Source organism: Homo sapiens, chromosome 4 (genome assembly GCF_000001405.40).
Source record: "Homo sapiens chromosome 4, GRCh38.p14 Primary Assembly".
In the NCBI taxonomy this organism is placed as follows: Eukaryota; Metazoa; Chordata; class Mammalia; order Primates; family Hominidae; genus Homo; species Homo sapiens.
Window position 1 is genome coordinate 68,329,802 of NC_000004.12, and position 15,954 is coordinate 68,345,755.

The 15,954-nt window shown below is 34.2% G+C and overlaps 1 protein-coding gene across 4 annotated transcripts in view; it reads right to left on the minus strand.

Annotated features, from left to right (window-relative positions):
* YTHDC1 (YTH N6-methyladenosine RNA binding protein C1) overlaps positions 1 to 15,954 on the minus strand; it is a 39,704-nt gene that overhangs the window by 19,415 nt on the left and 4,335 nt on the right. For 2 of the 4 annotated variants that reach the window (NM_001031732.4, NM_001330698.2), the window contains exons 2-9: positions 8,482 to 8,583; positions 7,771 to 8,099; positions 7,226 to 7,649; positions 3,507 to 3,596; positions 2,993 to 3,046; positions 2,302 to 2,396; positions 401 to 509; positions 201 to 318 (exon numbers count right to left, since the gene is read on the minus strand). In NM_001031732.4, coding sequence (NP_001026902.1) covers positions 201 to 318; positions 401 to 509; positions 2,302 to 2,396; positions 2,993 to 3,046; positions 3,507 to 3,596; positions 7,226 to 7,649; positions 7,771 to 8,099; positions 8,482 to 8,583 — 1,321 coding nt within the window. The remainder of the gene's footprint in view (positions 1 to 200; positions 319 to 400; positions 510 to 2,301; positions 2,397 to 2,992; positions 3,047 to 3,506; positions 3,597 to 7,225; positions 7,650 to 7,770; positions 8,100 to 8,481; positions 8,584 to 15,954) is intronic. The other 2 variants (NM_133370.4, XM_005265708.4) reach the window with 1 other exon arrangement.

Below are 15,954 nucleotides of genomic sequence, written 5' to 3' on the forward strand. Positions count from 1 at the left end.
TGCTTTATTACTAATATACAAAACAAATCAAATACATGTAACTTTAGACTAAATACGCCTTTGTTGTGTCCCACATTAGATAAAGGTAGTTACTGAACAAGGTAAGATAAGTATACAGTGACTTTTTCACTTTAACACATTATTCTAAACTGGTAGTGTATTCAAAATTTCAGTTATCTATACTGAAGTGTATAATTTACCTGCAAATCCAGTCAATTTTAAAGACACCTCCCAGCATTTTAGCACTCATTCCTGCTGGAAGCACCCAGTGTATAGGAGATCCTCCGTGATGTGATTCTGAAGAAAGTCTTGCAAACCCTAAGAGAATCATATCATAATATAATATGTAGATGCTAATATAATTAATGTTTTTATATGTCCAAATTATTTTTATTCTTACCTTGAAATTTTCCACTCTCTCTGACAGAAAATATTAAGATAACACTCCTTGCAGATCTAAATGCAAGATTTAATTTCTTCTCATTTACAGGGAGCGTGGACCATACACCCTACATAAATAACATAAAGACCACAAAGTGAAATTAACTACAACTCTTTTGTGTTTCCAGTTATGTTTGAAAAAAAACTACATATTTTGGTGTGCTTTCAATTTAAGTAAGCTATAATGAAGAAAGGTTTTATTTATCAGCTGTCAGAATAACGTAGTAATAATTTATAAAAACCTAAGGGAAAAAATGGAGACAATTACCAATTTTACAAAACCATTAAAGCAAGTAGTAAATAGATGGAGATGAGGTTCAAATCTAAGGGACTAGAATTCTATATAGTAAAACCAATCACTACAATTATTTTAATATTACAACCATTTACTGTGGTAAATACATCCTGTTTGAAGGTGAATCGCCACTTAGAAGTTAGTCTTCTTGCAAAACCGTACCTGATCAAATAATTTAAAATTACTCTATTAGTCAAGAATCTAGCATTTTTCTATTTAAGTTCGTTTTTTAAAGCAGTTTTTAAGTTCAAATTTTTATGTATCAATAGTTTGACTGAAGAGGCCTACGTTTTACCTACAGCTGGAAGATATTTGTTAATTTCTAAAGCATTTTAACCAATTCTTCATTCATAACAGATAAAAAGAAATGGAATAATAAGGCAGATGCTATCATTCAGCTCACACCATCTGCTCATACAAATGACATCTCATTCAAACTAAGTGCTTACAGTTGTTCCTCAGTCTCCACTGGGGACTGGTTCCAGGACCCATGCAGATACCAAAATCTGAGGATGCTCAAGTCCCTTATATAAAATGGCACAGTATTTGCGTATAACCCATGCATATACTCCCATATACTTTAAATCACCTCTAGAATACTTATACCTAATACAATGTAAATGCTATGTGAATAGTTGTTATACTGTGTTTAAGTTTGTATTTTCTGTTTTATTATTTCTCATTCCTTTTTCCCCTAATATTTCAATCCAGTTAGTTAAATCGAAAGATGAGGAACCCTGTGGATACCGAGGGCCAAGTGTACTTCTGCCTAAATCCACTTAAGCTAGAGAACAGAATAAGGCTATTTGGTGTACTGTTTCCTTCTGTTTGTAAAGTTTTAGGGGTAGTCCTTAAGGTAGAAATATAGAATACTGACAGAAATATCATTAGAGAAATGTCTAACTTTAGTTTTAAGTTTCTGAAAATCAGTTGAAACTGTAGTTACTCAGTTTAAACCAAGAATAGCAAAACACTGTAACAGCTAGTGTAACACAAAAATGTATTTTTGTAGCCAAACATAAAAAGAAAATTATTATCTTACAACATCCTACAGCAACTATGCATATCTTTTTTGCAAAGTCTGGAGTGGATCTTTAAGCTAATTCTTTTTCTTCTAAATCCCAATGATCTTAATTCTAAAAAATAAAACTCTCCATAAAAGAATGATTTCAAAAGAACCTCAAAGTGTAAATCAAGCATCAACATAAAACAAAAATTGGTTAACTACAGGTACTTTTAGAAGTGTTAGCACAATAAATGAGCCACTGAGGAAGTACAGAAACAAAAATCAACAGAAACAGGATCTTTTACAGCAAAAAGTTAAACTGTATAGCCTTCAACATTTAATATTCTGACCCCTAAAATCATCTTAAAAAAAAAAAAAGAAAACTCAAATTACAAGTAGGCTGACTGACTACAACCAGATCCTAAGTGGCCATTGGAATGTAGATCTTTAAAGCCGTAATGAAAATCATAATACCTATGCTACTTGATATAATACAAGTCTATTTTCCCATTTAAAAATTTTGATATTAGGATAGTTTCAACAGAACTGATGCTAATACCTTCGCTTTGGCAAGAGACACATTCTCATGGTTGTTACTCTTTATGAGGAAAAATCTTGCATCTTGAAGCACATATTTGAGTTTACTGGTTTGATCTGAAAAAAAAAGAAACCCAAATCGATTAACCACAAGCCATTATCACACAAAGGGGTCAAAACTGTACTAACTGAAATTAGCCCTCCACAACCCAGCTAAACTTTTAAAACGCAACAATCACCCATTCAACCTGGAAGGCTAAGCCACATGTAATAAAGCAAAGCTAAGAAAAGACAATCAGCATATTGCAAGAAAGTAAACCTAACCTAGTGATGTTCCGATATATCAAATCCATATTTAAGTATGAAAATGGTTACCAAGTTTTATAGATTTTCTTACTCAGATTCAAGAATAACAGACCATTATATACATACATATATATACACACACATCTATATATAACACATACACACATACACACACACACCCATCCCATTTTGTCCAAAAACTAAAATATCCTGAAATGTTTGGTATTATTCTAAAAAATATGCAGTAAGAAGCAGACACAGAGCTTTCTATGTTAAGATATTATTTTTTGCTTCATGTAATATATCGGAACATTACTACATTAAAAGCAGCTATTAATGGAGAACCAATAAGGAAAAATAATGACTATGCAGCATGCAATGAAAACAATTTCAAATTTAAATGATACCTTTTCGGACAGCACGAACGGAAGATGATAATTTCTCATGCTTCTTTTCTGAACCTGTATTTAGCCAAAGTACATTTGTTCAGATTGAGCTTTAATAGAGATAAGACAAAATTTCTACAGTCTTGTCACATAAAATTCTCATTCAAGACAAATTATTCTTCCTGGCGCACCCACACACACAAAAAAAACTTCTCAATGTGTACGAGTGTTTTGCTTTTTGGGTTGTTTGGATTTTTTTAAAAGTATGTATATTTGAACAGTTTCCCACTCAGAAAACTAGTCACTGAATCATCATCTTCCAAGAAAAAAAAAGTGAAAATTCCACTTAAGCAGTAACAGAACAGGATTAAAATAATAAGAAAAAGCTTAGTTTTCTCTAGAATTATTACACTGAACATGCCAAAAATCAGTGCTAATGGACATCAACAAGTTCACACTAAACTACAGCCTCCACACGCTTTCTAAAGCAGATTACATTAGAATCAAGTCAGATATGATCACAAAATGAGAATACCTGCATATGACTCTGATGCAGAGCTTCCACTTCTATCAAAAACAATTGGAGATATGCCTCTAGCTCTCTTCCTTTCCTTCTTTTTCTCATCTAAAAAGAACAAGAGTTTTTTTTTTAAATCACAATACAGAAACGAAGAGAAGTAATCAAACAAGAATGTATCATTACATGTCTAGTTTTTGCATAGCCCTTCTATTAGTCTGTGCTCCTCTCTCCTGATCCCTCAATTTCCTCAGAATGTTTTATTTTAAAAATACTGTTTAAAAAGTACGGGCATCTTGTTTCTTTCATCAGTTTCAATCAAATAAAAACACACGAAATAACTACAAAGTCAGGGCCTTAATTGCCATATATAGGTGGCCTTGAATACAGTTTTCCAAGCGGGGGGGGAAATTTGCAAAGCAAAAACAATTTCTTTCAAAACTGTGTCCTTTCTACACACCAGGTAACACTGTCTTAAGTCCTTATTTTTTTAAACTCCACTACCATTCTTCAGCACAATTACAATTCTGATTCTATCTTAAGAGATCTGATGAACCCCTGAACCCAAAGCTTTACAACTGGAAAAATATATATACCATAATTAGTGATTCCCTTCTGGTTGCCATTGCTTGTTTTTGTGTCTTCTATTTCATTCTCCTTAGCCATTTCCTCCCTGGATTACTGCTCTTATTTTCAAATTCAATTTAAAATTTATCCCTACAATTTTAATGGTAGCCTGTGTATTTCTGTAAGAGAGCTGAAAATCTTCAGTAAATAGAAAAGGTTTGGATTACCTGCCATGTAAGAACCAGTCCCAAGCTTAATTTGGAACTTTGTAAGCATATACATGAGGACTTGAAATGGAATTCAGCTCTCCTATCTGTTTATTTTTATCTTAGTTTTACCATGATAAGCTCCTTTTACTTTTCAGCTTAGAGATAAGGGAATAGGAAGAAAAAAATGCATATACTTATTTTTATATAAACAATGGAAAGCTGAAAAATAATAATCAGTGATCATGTATACAATAACCTACTATATAATGACAGCTATTTAAAAAGCTTTAACTACTTATCTCCTTTAATTCTCATAACAAGTTCACAAGATATTCTCATTACAGATGAAGAAACCTTGAATTAGACAGGCAGTTAGGCAACTAGACTAGGGTCCCACAGTTCCTGGATGGCAGAACCTAGACTCAAGGGCAGGTCCTCTGGCTTGAGCAAGTAGAAAGGATGTTTTATACTATTTTTGAAAGGTGATTACAGGTTTAACTAGTTTTGGGGGCTTTTTTCATTATTTCTTTCAAAAGTTCTGACATGTTTCTTCTAATTTTTCCCCCATGGATATTTCTTTCAGTAGTCTAAGCATTATGAATGCATCTGACTGAGTGTAATTTATCTCTTGTTGCTGTTAAAAAAGAATTATTTCATGGTCCAAAGTACTAAAAAGGGCCTGGTGCAGTTGCTCGTGCCTGTAATCCCAGCACTTTGGGAGGTCGAGGCAGGCGGATCACTTGACCTCAGGAGTTCGAGACCAGCCTGGGCAACATAGCAAGACCCTCTTTATATAAAGACAAAAACAATAATTAAAAAGTTACTAAAAAGATCTGAGATAATGCAGGGAAAATAACAGAAGCAGAAGATCCTACTCAATTGTTTTTATATAATGCTAAACCTAGCATTAGCATGAGAAATCTCCAAGGAATTTTCATCATTTTTGTATGAATAACTCCCAATGCTCTTAAGTTTATGGCCCTCTCCCCCAACTATTACTCTCAGGTCAAAAGAACAATGAAAATCATCTAATAAATAAACTGTTATCAATCAGTCTGTTGCTTTTATAAAGTTACCAAAAATTCTGAGAATAAGGTAAAATGAACTGGAATCTAGAAAATTCATGACAGAGAAACTCAACTGTGATCACTTTTATTTAAAAACTGACGTCTCTTAATCAAGAAGTTCCAAAATCACCCCATTACTCTTTCATAAACTATTGTATAAAAAAAAATTTCCTGCATATTAATATAGTACCTAAAGCATGTTCCACATAAGGGATTTTCCTTTATAAGGAAAATAAAACTTTCAGGTATCTCTTTTAGAATAAACCTAGTCTAGTAACAGAGTTTTGATATCAAGATTTATTATAAAACTACAGTTACCATTTAATTTGAAATGTCTTCTCCACAAAAACAAAGTGTGTCAATCAAGTTACCTTACTATGGTATCATCTAGGAGCCTGTTACAAATGCAATTTCTGGTCCTACCCATTTAAGTAAGTTCCCTTTGTTTAATGTAAACAATACAAACATTAAAGTCTAAGAAATAACAGAGATACCAAAAAGAAGATTCCTACAACAAAACGTTCCCTACCCAAGGGAGTGGTTTCATACATTCTCCACAATAAATGAACATTCAACACATACTGCTAATGAAATATTTATTATCTTAAATTATAAAAAATATATCCTATCAGTTTGTAAAAGGCATGATGGAAGCATAAAGATTTCATATGTTTTTACAACAAATCCAACTACTCATCTATTCTGTTTAACTCTACCTCCCTTGAAAAGCCTATCTTAACTCCCAAACCTAGAATTCTAGTGAACAAAAGGTTGAAAGCACTTCAGTTGCCAATCACTAGAAAATAACTGGCCATCTGCTCTACCTATACTGTATGTAGTATAGATATATACTATCCATATAGTATAAATATATAGTATAAAATATATAGTATAGATATATACTATCTGTATATAGTATAGGTAGAGCAGATGGCCAGTTATCTTCTAGTGATTGGCAACTGAAGTACTTTTCTATACTATATATACTATATATATAAAACAATGTACTATTATAAATGATCAAATTCTATAATAAACTGTAAATGTATTTCAAAAAAATAGGAATTTTCTTATGTTTAGTACATTTTGCTTATGTAGCAATCTGGTAGCATCTTTACATAAGACAGTCATGAGATTATAATCATCATATAGTGCTCTGTAAGTACCCTGACCTCTCCTTGCTGTACCCTCCCCCAAGAAAAGTTCCCCTAAGCCTAGTGCCTCCAACTACGTAACAGTCATACATTTTTGTCTCATAGGTATAGAGAGGCAGGATATATATAGCATTGAAGAAATGACTGAAGATGGTTCTTACCTGATTTTTCCACAAGAATTTTATTTATAGTCTTCATCTCCATCTTATACCTTACACCCCAGCCCTCTTGTCGACCCTGTCTCAGCCAGTCAACTGACAGACACAAAATTAGAAGAAAAGTCTGTGCTCCCAGAGATAAAAAAGAAATAATCTGTTTTGATTCTGAAGCCATATGATGGAAATCTAGGGGTATTTTACCAAGGAAATACTGTAATACCCAGTGGACAGGTTTCCTATGAATATACTTCAAGTACATCAGTGTTTAAATAAACTGCTGACTGGTATGAAAATCTAAGAATTTACAGAAATCTGAAATACATTTCCTTATACAGAATCAAATGGACTTGTGTTCATTTACAACACAACCATTCTGTAGCTAGGAAATGCCTTTCCTAAAATATGTAAATCTTATCCAAGATTATTCAAATGTATTTATAACATTCAAAAGCATATAAAGGATCACAAGACAATCCTATTAATATCCCCCATCTCCTCAACAATTTTATAATTTAAACATTTTCAAGACTGAAACCTATCAAGCTTTTTTTAAGACAAACTTTTACATATAAAAAGTAGTACCTGATCCATCTGTGCCTGAACCAGATCTGACAGACCCATCTGTGAAGGAAACAGATTCAGAACCAGAGTCACTGGCCTCACTTCGAGTGTCATAATCATTTCCCTCCTCTTTCTGGTCTCTCTCATCCTGTTCATATTCTTCTTCTTCCTCCTCCTCCTCCTCCTCTTCCTCCTCCTCCTCTTCCTCCTCCTCCTCTCCATCTTCATCCACCTCTTCATCTTCTTCTGCATCTTCTTCTACTTCTTCATCTTCCTCCACATCTTCTTCCACTCCTTCCTCCTCATTCTCAGTGTTGTTCCCTTGCTCATCAGAAGAACCACTGCTGCCAGTCTCATGGTCAGAGCCATATTCTTCAGAGTTCACTTCTTCCTTAGAAGACTGGCTGGATCTGCTTGCACGTCTATCCACTTCAAGCCCAATTCTCTGATGTTTAAAGAAAAAGGGAATCAGCAGTCATATAAAAGACAAGGTCAGGGTGAATAAACAGTTCTAAAGCCTCAAAAAGAATGGCTTTCTGTTTTATATCTGCAATAATATTTACTACCTCAGAACCATCTGGCGTAGGAGATTTGGCCCTCCTTTCAGGATCCCTTTTCCGGACACAGGTTTTTTCAGGTTGATTCTTATAAGGTTCTCTGGAGGCACTACTTGATAGACGAATTTTCCGATCAGCATCTAGACGCTTGTTTCTTTCAGATCTTTGATATTCCTCATTTTTATACTCTGTGGCTGACTTTCCTTTTGTACTAACTATTCTTTTGTTATTGCTAACAGATGAGCTCAGTGGCTTAGAAACCAGTTGTCTAGAATGGACAGAAGGCTTTTGTCGTTTGGTATCAGTAGATTCCATTCGATCACTTTTTCTTTTTGATCCTTTAAAATACAATGTAAAAAAAAAAAAAAGAAGTATTTGTAGTATTCCATTTATTTCACCAAAGACTGACAATAATATATACATCAGGAAGGGGGGATAGGCCTCATTTCTTTAAAAGTCTTCTGAGAGATTTCTTCTCCAGAGTTAATCTAAAAGAAAACATAGCTTTCAACTATGGGAATAAAACCATATATTTGAGAAGTTTCATATATTAGAAAAAAACAGATTATCCCTATTCATATGGATACCAGTTTATTATGTACATTTAGTGTTAACTGCCTCAAGGAACAAGCACAAAAAAGCACAGTCATTTTTTTTAAGAAATTGAATCTCCTCTATTTATACTGTTATTTCAACAAAAATAATAGAACTCTTACATACCCTTTTTCTCATTTTTATCTTGTTCACTCTCTGGATTATACAGTTCATCATCTTGTTCTGGTACTTCAGTTAAAATATCATCCAGAACATTAAGTTCTCCATCTGCAAATAAAATTAAAAATTAATAGGGAAAAATCACTATCATTGAACATGTATTTTTGAGTACTTACTAAGTGTGAGGCCACAAGCGCCTAGGAGCTTTTACTTTTATATAAAAAGCTTTACTTTTATTTCAGAATCAAGACACAAGATTAATTTCTATAAAACTAATACAGGGTAAAGAATTGGCCAGTCGTGGTGGCTCATGCCTGCAATCCCAGCACTTTGGGAGGCTGAGGCAGGCCAATCACGTGACGCCAGGAGTTTGAGACCAGCCTGGCCAACATGGCAAAACCCTGCTCTGCTAAAAATACAAAAATTAGCAGGGCATGGTGGCACATGCCTTTAACCCCAGCTACTCAGAAGGCTCAGGGACAAGAATCACTTGAACCTGGGAAGCAGAGGTTGCAGTAAGCCAAGATTGTGCCACTGCATTCCAGCCTGGGCGATAAGAGTGAGTTTCTCAAAATACACACACACACACAAACAGAAGTCTGGGCTATCTGGTCTACAAAGCCAGGAGTATACATCTCAGAAGGCATGAAAAGATATACTGAGGCATAAAAAGAAAATGCAAGAATGTCTCTATTTTTACCTCATTCTTTAATTTCTAATATTTCTGAGGGCTTTAAAATGTGTACAATAAATTAGTATACAAATACGTATGTACAACTTATAAATACACATTTACCAAAAATGTGCACTCTCCACAATTACAAAGGGAAAACGACTTTACAGTGGAGAAATGTTTCACAGGCCAAATTAACCAGATAATCAAAGTTAACATCACCAGTAATGAGACAAATCAACATCATGGACCTCCTGTAACAATGCTCTGAGAATAGAACAATGCTTTTGTAATGTTCTATGCAAAATGGAAAAGCTGAACCTACATGAGGAAAAAAATCAGACAAACCCAAATTAAAGGGCATCCAAATATGTCACTGTCATGAAACAAAGAGTAAGAACTATTTCATATCAAAGCAGACCTAGAGAGGCATGATAACTGAACACAGCCCACAATATTGGACATAATTGGAAAAACTGGTGAAATCTGAATAAAGTTTGTAAATCAGAGTAAGTAGCAATGTTATTTTTCTAATTTTGACTGTACTATGGTTAAGTCAAAGTCCTTATAACACATATTTAAGTATTTAGGGACAAAGATATATTATGTCTACAACTTACAAATGGTTCAGGAAAAAAGTGTGCACACATGCACGTACACACACAGACACACAGAATGAGACAAATGTGACAAAATGCTAACATCTGCAGAATGTGTTTGGAGAGTAAAAGAAAATTCTTCACACTGCACTTGTAGCTATTATGCTTATCTGAAATTATGTCAAACTGCAAGTTAAATGAAAAAATTATCAATGTGCTATATAATAAAAAAAACATTTAGAGCCTGCTGGTGTGGACTGTAAAAGCACAAAACTTGTTCAGAGAAGGGAACTATGACTTTATTCAATGATCATGAAAGCATAAAACTCAGTTTTGTCCCCACTTCTACCTTGTCCAACAAGATAAACCTTAGAAATACACACAAATACCATTTTAAATTTTAAAATGTACTAATGCTAATAGTAAATGTTTAAACATTAACTATTCCAATATCAAAAACATCTTTCCAAATTTAAGGTGTGCCAAAGAGGAAGTATAAAGCCATGAAAACTGATGAGACAGAACAATTACATTTGTGGCTTCAGGAAAAAAACAAAGCCCACATGAATTACAGAAAGGTCTATTAATTAACCTGGGGGCTATAAACAGGTTAAATGGGATTCAAATTTTCCCCAAAGTGGGAAAGAAATCTGTGACTGAAGAGAATAGTTAATACAAACGATAAGGTTACATAGGAAATGGAAAAGATATCATTTTCCTTTACATTTGGAAACAGACACAATCTAAAGATATCTGAAAATTACTATGTCTGGAATAGCAAAATTGATCATTTTGGGTGGTACCAATGCTGATATGTACTTTCTATCATTTTTCTAAAATGAAAACAGGCTATATGGGTTTTTATTTTTGTTTACTTTTAAAAAATCTTATTTAAAATCAAGATATGTCAAACAAAAAAGCTTCTCTCATCATCTAGATTCATGTTTTTGCTAAGAAAAATTTCTTCAAGATCTGAATGGTGGCAAACACCATTTTCGGACTCTAAATTATAAAAAAAATAGTCTGATAGAAGTAAATCAATGTTTTACAGATGTTTAATAAGTACTGGGTCAAAGCTCACTAATCAGTAAAAAAGTAGATCCAACAGGTCTTCACAGAATCAAATACATTTGTAGAAGACAAAAAGAAAAAATTTCAAGACTATCACAATGAAACAGGCAAATAATGCTATACAAATCTTTTCATAAAATCACTAGATCTTATTCAGAAATATCATCCCCGAACCCTGAACATTTATATTATATACTTTAGACATGCTAAATTTAATACAGAATGAAATAATTTTGCAGAATGTTAATTTAAATAAATTTAAGTTTCAAACACACTTAAAGCCTGGTTTTCCTATAAAAAGGGGTATTACTGTTTTAAAGTTTTAACGAATTCAAATTCAGATACTGGTTGTAGTTTTAGAAAGCACCTACAACCTTTTTCAAGACAACAAATATTAACCAATGCTTACTACTTTTTAAAAATACTTTGTCACTTTTAAAATTTTATCACTTTTAAAATATATCATATATACAAATCATATAAAATAGAGCATGTTTAATCATTCATTACTTTGCAGATAAAGAAAGAGAAGCTCAAATGTTCCAGTTGACCAAATACACTTGTCTAGTAACAAATGGATATTAGTATGAAGTTCCGGCTTTAGAAATTGACAGTTAAATCAGATGGGGAACAATAAAAGCAACTTTAACCAAAGTATAAAGAACACAAATGCAAAATATTAAAAGGGCATATATACTAGAACATAAATTTCAAATTAGTGCACCAGAAAGCTCTATATCTTTAACATTACAACATTTAAAATCTACTGAAATATTCAAAATCAACTATAACACCCTCACTTAAATGATGTACACACTTTTATCCGTATTATAGTCCATAACATCAATAAACTGTGTGGTTTTACCACAAACTGGCAAACTAAAACCTACAGGATAAACATGGCCCATTGCCTATTTAGAATGGCCTGCAAGAATGGTTTTTACGTTTTTAAGGCGCTTATTAACAAGAAAAAAAAAAAAGCAAAGAATATGTCAGAGAACACTTACAGCCCACAAAGTCTATTTGGCCCTTTACAAAGAGTTTTGCCAACCCCTGATATAATACAAATGACCAAATTTTAAGTACTTTTCTCCATCACTGAAACTCCTTATATATACACTGGAATATAATATACAAGGGGAAAAGTCTTGGAGGTTAAGGAAATGCAGGTTATAGCTTGCATTTAGGTATCAGGAAATTCCCAGTCTTTCTGAGTTCAAGATTCTTCACCTCTGATAAGAGGCACTTAAAAAAGGTCAGTTTTGGGGAAAGGAAAAGCAGGACATTTGAATCTTCTATGAGTTTTTCAACCTGTAAGAAGACTCTCCTTCCTTATAACTATTGGACTTTAATAAAACCTGCCTGCCCCAACCCTCTTGCTAATGACTGGGCTATGTGATATATATAAAATCTGGTCCAGAACACAAAACAAAATTCCTTCTTCAACAAAACAGGTATGGTATATGCATACATGTTCTGATTATCTACTGCTGTATAAGATGATCACCCTAAAACTTGACTTAAAATGGTAACACCTTTCATTATGGCTCATGGTTCCAGGGCTCAACCGGGGTCTCCCATGTGGCTGCAGTCAAATGGGGCTGGGGCTGGGGCTGAAATCATCTGAAGGCTTGTTCATTGACAAGTCTCGTTGATGTCTAGGCTGGGAAGATTCAAAGCTGGAGCTTCTCCAACATTTCTGTGTGTGTGATTACTCATTACTATGGCAACCACCGAGTAGGCAGATCTTTTACATGGTAGTTTAGGACTCTCGTGTCCCAACAGAGACGGGAACAGGTAGAAATCCAGCAACACCATCACAGTATTTATTCATCACAAAAGCTTACCTAGCTTCAAACAGAGGGGACACATATTCCAATCACTGTTGACAGAAGTGTCATACATAATACATGACAGATGTTTCCAAAATTACTATAGTTTTATTTAAGGGTAAATATTTTAATTATATACTTGAGGTGCATTTTTAATAACAAAAATTCATTTAAATAGGTCAATGTTAAAGCTTATAGTATTAAGTTATAAAGCTAATGTAAACTGCTGCTTCTGGCCATATTCTTCACTGACTTGAAAAAGTACACTTTGCATACATTTTAATTCATTTTTTTAACGTAGAATGAATTATAAAAGAAGAAACATTTTAATACTCTCACAAGCTACTGCTGTTAAAGACTATAATCATCACTGGCATATCCTTTTTGAAAAGAAATAATTATCTCTTTTAGATATAAAGTAATATCCACTAGTTCTAGGTTGACTTTCTTTTAACCTACCTGAACAAACGTTTTTAACCATTTCCTTTGTCCTGAAATTTAACATTATTGATATTCTATATAGAGATATGTATACTTTCAATTACTTCATAATAGTTTGACAGTAGTATCCCAACCCAAGAATAACAACAGTAAACAAAGATTAGAAATGCCAGGTTAAGAAAAGGCCTATAAGCATACAATTCATGCACTACAAAAATCCTAATTTCTATGACATAAAGCACTTCACATTGAAAGCCTTTTTTAGATGTCTATATAGAGAACTATAGACATTAAAAATCACTTTTTTTTTAATTTGTTTTTTTGGAGACAGAGTCTCTCTCTGTCACCCAGGCTGGAGTGCAGTGGCGCAATCTGGGATCACTGCAACCTCCACTTCCCAGGTTCAAGTGATTCTCCTGCCTCAGCCTCCCGAGTAGCTAGGATTACAGAGGCCCGCCACACCATGCCCAGCTAATTTTTGTTATTTTTAGTAGAGACAGGGTTTCACCATGTTGTCCAGGCTGTTCTCGAACTCCTGACCTCAGGTGATCCACCTGCCTTGGCCTCCCAAAGTCTTGGGATTATAGGCATGAGCCACCGTGCCCGGCCTTAAAAAATCACTTAAAATCTTTAAAAAAAAAAAAAAAAAAATTTTTTTTTTTTTTGAGACAGTCTCACTGTTGCCGAGGCTGGAGTGCAGTGACATGATCTCAACTCACTGCAACCTCCGCCTCTGAGGTTCAAGCAATTCTCCCTGCCTCAGCCTCCCAAGTAGCTGGGATTACAGGCACCTGCCACCACGCCGAGCTAAATTTTTATATTTTTAGTAGAGAAGTGGTTTTGCCATGTTGGCCATGCTGGTCTTGAACTCCTGACCTCAGGTTAAAATCTATAAAATTTTGTTCCAAAATTAAGATGTCACAAAAAGATGGATTTTTTTATAATGTGCCAGTTCAAGAAATAAGCTTAATGAAACAATCCTACATTAAACAGTATTTACATTTAGAGCTAAAATTCAAATCTATCTAAAAGTTTTACACTAGCAGTCTAGAGGATAAACTCAGCTCTTGAATGCTGTTTTTAAAAATTCTAAGGATTTAATATGAAAACCCACTTAAAAAAATACTATTTGATTATTAGGGGCCCAGATTCTCACCTGAAAACAACCAGCTGGAAGAGTCTAGTCTTCTGTTAAGACACAGAGAAGGTAACATATGTCAAAGTTTTGCATGAGACAATCTGGGTTTGTATCTGGTGAATGAGTTTGTATCTGGTGAATCAGTATTACTACCTGAACAAAGAGCATGCTGGCTCTTAAAAAAAAAAAAAAACAAACTCATGATACCTAACGTATTAAGCAAGTACTTTATCTTTATCTGCCAGATTCTGGCATGCACACACATCTGCAACCCCTGCATAACACTGATCTTAAACTTGAAAAAACCCAAGGCTCAGTTTAATACACTAAGGCACAGGAACATCAAACTAGTTTTAGTATACCGTATATAATACTTTGGGAAAGAGGAGGAAAGCTAAAGGGGACAATCCTACTCAACTCCAGAAGATTAACTTCCTTGACAGTTGCAAGCACTGTGTTGTCAGATCTTCCACATTTTCAAGAGGACTCTGAAACCCAGATTTTTATTTGGAATTGCATGACTCTTCAGTGCTGCCTCAATTAAAAATGAAACAGCTGGCTGATAGATTCCACAGTTGGCTGCTAGATTCCTCCGTGAAAGTATAATCACGTGTGAATGTTTTGTATTAATATTATACACAAACTAATAGCAAAATGAGTTTTGAGGTAAAGGTACAGATTCCCAGGATACAGGAAGTAAACAAGGATATAAAAAGAGTAACAGGTCGGGCATGGTGGTTCACACTTGTAATCCCAGCATTTTGGGAGGCCAAAGCAGGCATATAGCTTGAGCTCAGGAGCTTGAAATCTGCTTGGGCAACATGATGAAACCCCATCTCTACAAAAAACACAAAAATTAGTGGTGTGCACCGCACCTGTAGTCTCAGCTACTTAGGAAGCTGAAGTGGGAGAATCACCAGAGTCTGGGAGGTCGCGGCTGCAGTGAGCCCTGATCGCACTACTGCACTTCAGCCTGGGCAACAGAGTAAGACCCTGTCTCCCCGCCAACAACAAAAAAAATCATTATTTTTAAGGCCTGTTCAAAAACTGACAAGATGTTAGAAATAACAAAGCTAGCTGTTTGTTGCTTGGCTGGGGGATTTTTGTTTTAGGTAAACATGGGAACTTAAAATTTACCATAATCTTTACATTCTTGGCCAGGAAGGTCACAAACTTTAACTCTAGGGATATCAGGGTAGAAAATTAACCTTTATCTGGGACAGTCATTTTTTACTGCAGAAGCTTCTGGGTCAGAAGACAGTGCTATTTATTAACATGTGAGGTTCCAGCATCAGACTAAGATTTAGTATTTAAGGAAAGTTAAATACTAAATATACTACACATTTTGTTTTCTAACACAAGGTACCAAAATAAATTATATTTTAATTCATTTAATATAATTTTAGTGGGACTTGGCAATGGAGCAAGATTACTAGAACCTCCCCCTTCTATTGTCTTGTAATGTACGTTGTACATTTAGACCAGTTTCTCAGTTTTTGTCATTGAAAATCGTCATTCCTCCAAATGAAGTTTAAAAACTTGGATTTCCCATCCAAAACCGCTCTTATAAAAACATACAATTTAAGTGCAAAGATATCATTTTAAATTTTCTACCTTACTTATACTATAGGTAAAATAAATATATTGGAGTATCAATATGTACTCTATGCCTTACAGAGCCCAAACTAAAGTGAACCAAGACAGGCAATTTTATCCTAAGAAATT